At 43.6% G+C, this 5,776-nt stretch overlaps 1 non-coding gene across 1 annotated transcript; it reads left to right on the top strand.

Annotated features, from left to right (window-relative positions):
* Nucleotides 1-2,396: 2,396 nt before the first annotated feature.
* Nucleotides 2,397-2,500, top strand: LOC124905271 (small nucleolar RNA U13). The gene has a single exon (XR_007068435.1). It is a non-coding gene; the product is annotated as a small nucleolar RNA U13 (small nucleolar RNA).
* Nucleotides 2,501-5,776: the final 3,276 nt, after the last annotated feature.

Here is a 5,776-nt window from a genome sequence, read left to right as displayed (position 1 = left end):
TGGTCTCAAATTCCTGGCCTCAGGCGATCTTCCTGCCTCAGCCTCCCAAAGTGCTGGGATTAAAGGTGTGAGGCACTGTGCCCAGCACATATAATTCTTTTAATTTCTGTAAGGTCAGTAATAATACACTTTCTTCTTTTATTTCTGATTTTAGTAATTTGAGTCCTCAATTTTTTTTTTTCTGGTCGTCGTAACTGAAGGATTGTCAATTTTGTTGATATTTTCAAAGAAACAACTTTTGTTGATTTTGCTGTATTTTCTATTCTTTATCCAACTTTTTTCTTTCTTTCCAATGGATTTCTTATTGCAGGCTCCTGTTTAATAATCATTATTATTGTTTTATGTATTCTATTTTATATTTTTTAATCTCTGGAAAATTGTTTTTGTTTGCACTTTTGTTTTTTGTCAACTTTTATTTTGAAATATTTCAAACCTTCAGAAACATTGCAAGAATAGCATAATAAAAACCTATATACCCTTTACCTACATTCATCAATTGTTGATATTTTTCACATTTGCTTTATTTGTGTGTATGTCGATACCTATCTATTGATGAGCTATTTGATAGTTGTAGTTCTGGATGATACGACACTTCATCCCTAAATACTTCATGTATCTCTTAAAAACAAAGGCATATGCCTACATAACCATAGTATAATAATCATACTTGGAAAATTTAACATTGATATAATATCAAATTTACATCTGAAATCAAATTTTCACAGTTGTTCCAATAATATACTTCATAGCATTTTAAAATCCAAAATGTAATCAAGGATTGGCCAGGCACAGTGACTCATGCCTGTAATCGCAGCACTTTGGGAGGCTAAGACGTGAGGATCGCTTGAGCCCAAAAGTTTGAGACCAGCCTGGTCAACATGACAAAAACTCATCTCTACAAAAATTTTAAAAATTAGCTGGATGTGGTGGTGCACACCTGTGGTCCTAGCTACTCAGAAGGCTGAGGCAGGAGGTTCCCTTGAACTAGGAATTTGAGGCATCAGTGAAAAAAAAAAAAAAGAACCAAACATCACACTATTGTCAAGTCTCTTTAGCCTTCTTTGATCTAGAATATTTCCAAGCTGTTTTTTTGGGGTGAGGTGGTTCTTGTGATATTGACATTTTGAAGAGCTCAGGTTAGTTTTTTTGTTTGTTTGTTTTCACCCAGAATGTCCCTCAATTTGGATTTGTGACCGTTCCCATTTTTGGCAGGAATACAACAGAAGTGATGTTGTATATTTCTTAGTGCACCACATCAGAGGGCACATAATGCCACCTTGTCCCATTATTGTTAATGTGAGGTTTGATCACTGAGTTCAGGTGGCTTCTATCAGACTTCTCCATTGTAAGAGTTTCCTTTAGCCTTAGAATTAATAGGTAATCTGTGAAGTAATGATATGGAAGGGGGGCAGGGAAGTGCTGGGAAGGGAAGGGCGTGGTCCCTGGCTAGGGCTCCACCCCCAGGCCTGTGTCCACAGACCTAGGTGAGGACTGGCATATCTGTTTTCCTGCCTAAATATTGCGTTTCCCAAGACCCCCCTGGCCTGCCACACCCCCATCCTGTGCCTATAAAACCCCGAGACCCTAACAGGCAGGCACACAAGTGGCTGGACTTTGAAAGGAACACGTTGGCAGAAGAAGACACAAGTGACTGGACGTTGAGAGGATGTCGAGGGGAGCACGCCAGTGGAAGAGCACAAGACAGATGCTGGCACGCCGGCAGGCCTTCAACTGGCGGAATGACATAGAGTTTGGTCAGGGTGGTTGGAGGAGAACCCAGGCCACTGAGCAGCTTGACTCCAGGGGAAAACTTTCTCCCTTCTGGCTCCCCCATCTGCTGAGAGCTACTTCCACTCAATAAAACCTTGCATTCATTCTCCAAGCTCACTTGTGATCCGGTTCTTCTGGTACACCAAGGCAAGAAACCCCAGGATACAGAAATCCCTCTGTCCTTATGATAAAGAAGGGGGTCTAATTGAGCTAGCACAGGTCGCCTATAGATGGCAAACTAAAAGAGCATCCTGTAATACACGCCCACTGGGGCTTCAGGAGCTGTGAACATTCGCTCCTAGCCACTGCCGTGGGGTCGGAGCCCCACAACCTGCCCATCTGCATGCTCTCCTAGAAGTTTGAGCAGTGAGGCACCGAAGAAGCGAGCCACACCTCCATCGCACGCTCTGTGAGAGGGATAAGGGAACTTTTCCCATTTCAACAACATTTTGAGAGGGTGTAAATATTCTATTTCTCAGTATGTTTTCACCTGATAGTTTCAGCATTCATTGATGATTTTTGCTTGAATCAGTTAACTATGGTGGTTATAAAATAATGCTTTTCTATTTTTGTCATTTATCCTACATTTATTAGTTGGATTTCTCCTATAAAGAAGAGCTTTTTCAATCTTTTTGTAGTTCATGAGCATGAAGATTGGGTGTTCATGCACATGTGTGAGATGTGCCACCCTTGAACCTTGTTATGACGTTGGCATCTTACCCATCTGGCCTGAAAAAAAAAAAAAGAAAAAGAAAAGATCTTTTTCTTCTCCCCTATCCTTTTTTGAACTTTTTTCTACAGTATCAGTATGGACCCATGAATTATTTTTTTTCTTTTTTTCTTTTTTTTTTTTGAGACAGAGTTTCGCTCTGTTACCCAGGCTGGAGTGCAGTGGCACAATCTCGGCTCACTGCAACCTCCGCCTCCTGGATTGAAGCGATTCTTCAGCCTCAGCCTCCCAAATAGCTGGGACTACAGGCACATGCCACCACGCCTGGCTAATTTTTGTATTTTTAGTAGAGACAGGGTTTCACCATATTGGCCAGGCTGGTCTCGAACTCCTGACCTTGTGATCCGCCCACCTCAGCCTCCCAAAGTGCTGGAATTACAGGTGTGAGCCACCATGCCTGGCCGAATTTTTTATTCAGTATGTTACAATCCATTCCTGTCCTTATTCATTTTGATGCTCAAATTGTCCCAAATTTGGCTAGTGGGAGCCCCTTCTAGCTGGCTCCTGTATCTTTATTTGTTTGTTTATTTACTTATTTATTTTATTTATTTTTTGAGACAGGGTCTCACTCTGTTGCCCAGGCTGGAGAGCAGTGGCACGATCTTGGCTCACTGCAACCTCTGCCTCCCTGTTTCAAGTAATTCTTGTGCCTCCAGAGTAGCTGGGATTACACGTGGGTGCCACCACGCCTGGCTAATTTTTGTATTTTTAGTAGAGACAGGGTTTCACTATGTTGGCCAGGCTGGTCTCGAACTCCTGGCCTCAAGTGATCCACCTGTCTTGGTCTCCCAAAGTGCTGGGATTATAGGCGTGAGCCACCACACTCAGCCTCCTGTATCTTTTTAACATGAGTCTTATCGATTTTCGAGTATTCCTTGCTTCCTCACATTACCAGATGTTCCAGACGCACTTTGTTCTTCCCTTGCCCTGGACATGGAATCAGCCACTTCTCTAAGGAGATCTAGTTCCTTTGAGTGGGAACAGTGTTTTAGACATGAACATGTGCCACCCAGATCATCTTAAGAAAGAATTTGAAGCTGAGCATGGTGGTACACGCCTATTGTCCCAACCACTTGGGAAGCTGAGGTGGGAGGATCACTTGAGTCCTGGAGGTCATGCCTGCAGTGAAATAGGATTGTGCCACTGCACTCCAGTCTGGATGACCTAGTGAGACTCCATCTCTAAACAACAACAACAATAAAATTAAATTAAATTAAATTTTAAGTAGAAAGGGCTTGCTGCCTATCTATCGGGAGTGTGGTCAGCGGGCAGCCTCCAGCTGTCTGCTCCTTCAATGTCTGCCTCAGCTGCAAAACACTTTCACTTAGGTGCATGCCCTTCCGGGGCCACCTACGTCTAGTGATTGAGACAGAAGTAAAAGGCCTGGCTTTTCAGCCCCATTTGGGACACTCTATTGGGACAAAATACTTGTACCAGAGCGCCCTGCTGGGTTGGTTGAGGTCCGCAACACAGTTCATCTTTCTCTTCTCAGTCCTGCTTCCTTCGGTCCTTCCATAGGTATACATTGGTTGATCTCTAGTAAACATCTTGTACTTTATACTCCATCACAGCTTCTGTTTCCAGAGACCCCCACCTGAGGCAGGTGGTATTCAGAATATAGTAGTCCCCCTGAAACCAACCCAATAGCCCCATAGATACTTTTTTTTTTTTTCATAAACAGAGAAATTGACAGACACTTCTGGTCTCAAAGCTTGAAACTTTTTTTTTTTTTAGACAGAGCTTCACTCTTCTTGCCCAGGCTGGAATGCAGTGGCGTGATCTTGGCTCACTGCAACTTCTGCCTCCCGGGTTCGAGTGATTCTCCTGCCTCAGCATCCTGAGTAGCTGGGACTACAGACACCTGCCACTGTGCCCAGCTAATTTTGTATTTTTAGTAGAGACAGGATTTCACCATGTTGCCCAGGCTGGTCTCGAACTCCTGACCTCGGGTGATCCACCCACCTTGACCTCCCAAAGTGCTGAGATTACAGGCATGAGCCACCACGCCCAGCCAAGCTTGAAATTTGTATTTGTTTATCTGAGTTCTTTCCTCAGGAAAGGGCTGTCGGGCCTCTCAAAAAAAAAAAAAAAAAAAAAAAAGGATCAACTTTGGGAGGCCCAGGTAGGCAGATCACTTGAGTCGAGGAATTTAAGACAGCCTGGGCAACCTAGCAAAACCGTGTTTCTCCGCATATTCTCACTCATAGGTGGGAATTGAACAATGAGATCACATGGACACAGGAAGGGGAACATCACACTCTGGGGACTGTTGTGGGGTGGGGGGAGGGCGGAGGGATAGCATTGGGAGATATACCTAATGCTAGATGACGAGTTAGTGGGTGCAGTGCACCAGCATGGCACATGTATACATATGTAACTAACCTGCACAATGTGCACATGTACCGTAAAACATAAAGTATAATAATAAAAGAAAAACTTAAAAAAAACCGTGTTTCTATTTAAAATACAATAAGCTAGGTGTGGTGATGCACGCCTGTAGTCCCAGCTACCCATGGGGGCTGAGGTGGGAGGATAATTTGAGCCTGGGAGGTGGAGGCTGCAGTGAGCTATGATACTGCCATTGCACTCCAGCCTGGGTAGCAGAATGAGACTCTGTCAAAAAAAAGTATCAAAGAACTGAAACTCACCACATCACCACCTGGAGACAATGAGATGTCGGACCCCTTATTCATCATGATTGCTTCCTGGCCCCTCCCTAGTTTCTGTTTTCTTACTCATTGTTACATTTCTTGCCTGCTGTATAAACCCCTAGTTTTTGTTGGTCTGGGAGATGGATTTGAGACTGAGCTCTCATTTCCTCAGCTGCAGCACCCAATTAAAGCCTTCTTCCTTGGCAATAATCATCATCTCAGTGATTGGTTCTCTGTGTGGTGAGCAGCAGTACCTAGACCAAACCCCTGGTGTTTGGGTAACATTCCCTTATCCTCAGGGGCTACATTCCAAGACTTCCAGTGGATGCCTGAAACCACAGATAGTACCAAACCCTGTACAAACTATATCATTCAATCTGATAACCGGCACAGGCAGGTAGTAACCACAGCATGAACATCCTGGACAAAGGGATGATTCATGTCCTGGGAGGGATAAAGCAGGACTGTGCAAGATTTCATCATGCTACTCAGAACAATTTAAAGCTTATGGTTTGTTTATTCCTGGAATTTTCCATTTAATATTTTTGGGCTGTGGTTGACTGTGGGTAACTGACACCACAAAAAATGAAACCACAGATAAGGGAGGACTACTGTACAAGAACTA

This window comes from Homo sapiens, chromosome X (assembly GCF_000001405.40).
Source record: "Homo sapiens chromosome X, GRCh38.p14 Primary Assembly".
Classification (NCBI taxonomy): domain Eukaryota; kingdom Metazoa; phylum Chordata; class Mammalia; order Primates; family Hominidae; genus Homo; species Homo sapiens.
Note: the sequence above shows the minus strand (reverse complement) of the source record. Positions and strands in the feature narration are given on the sequence as shown.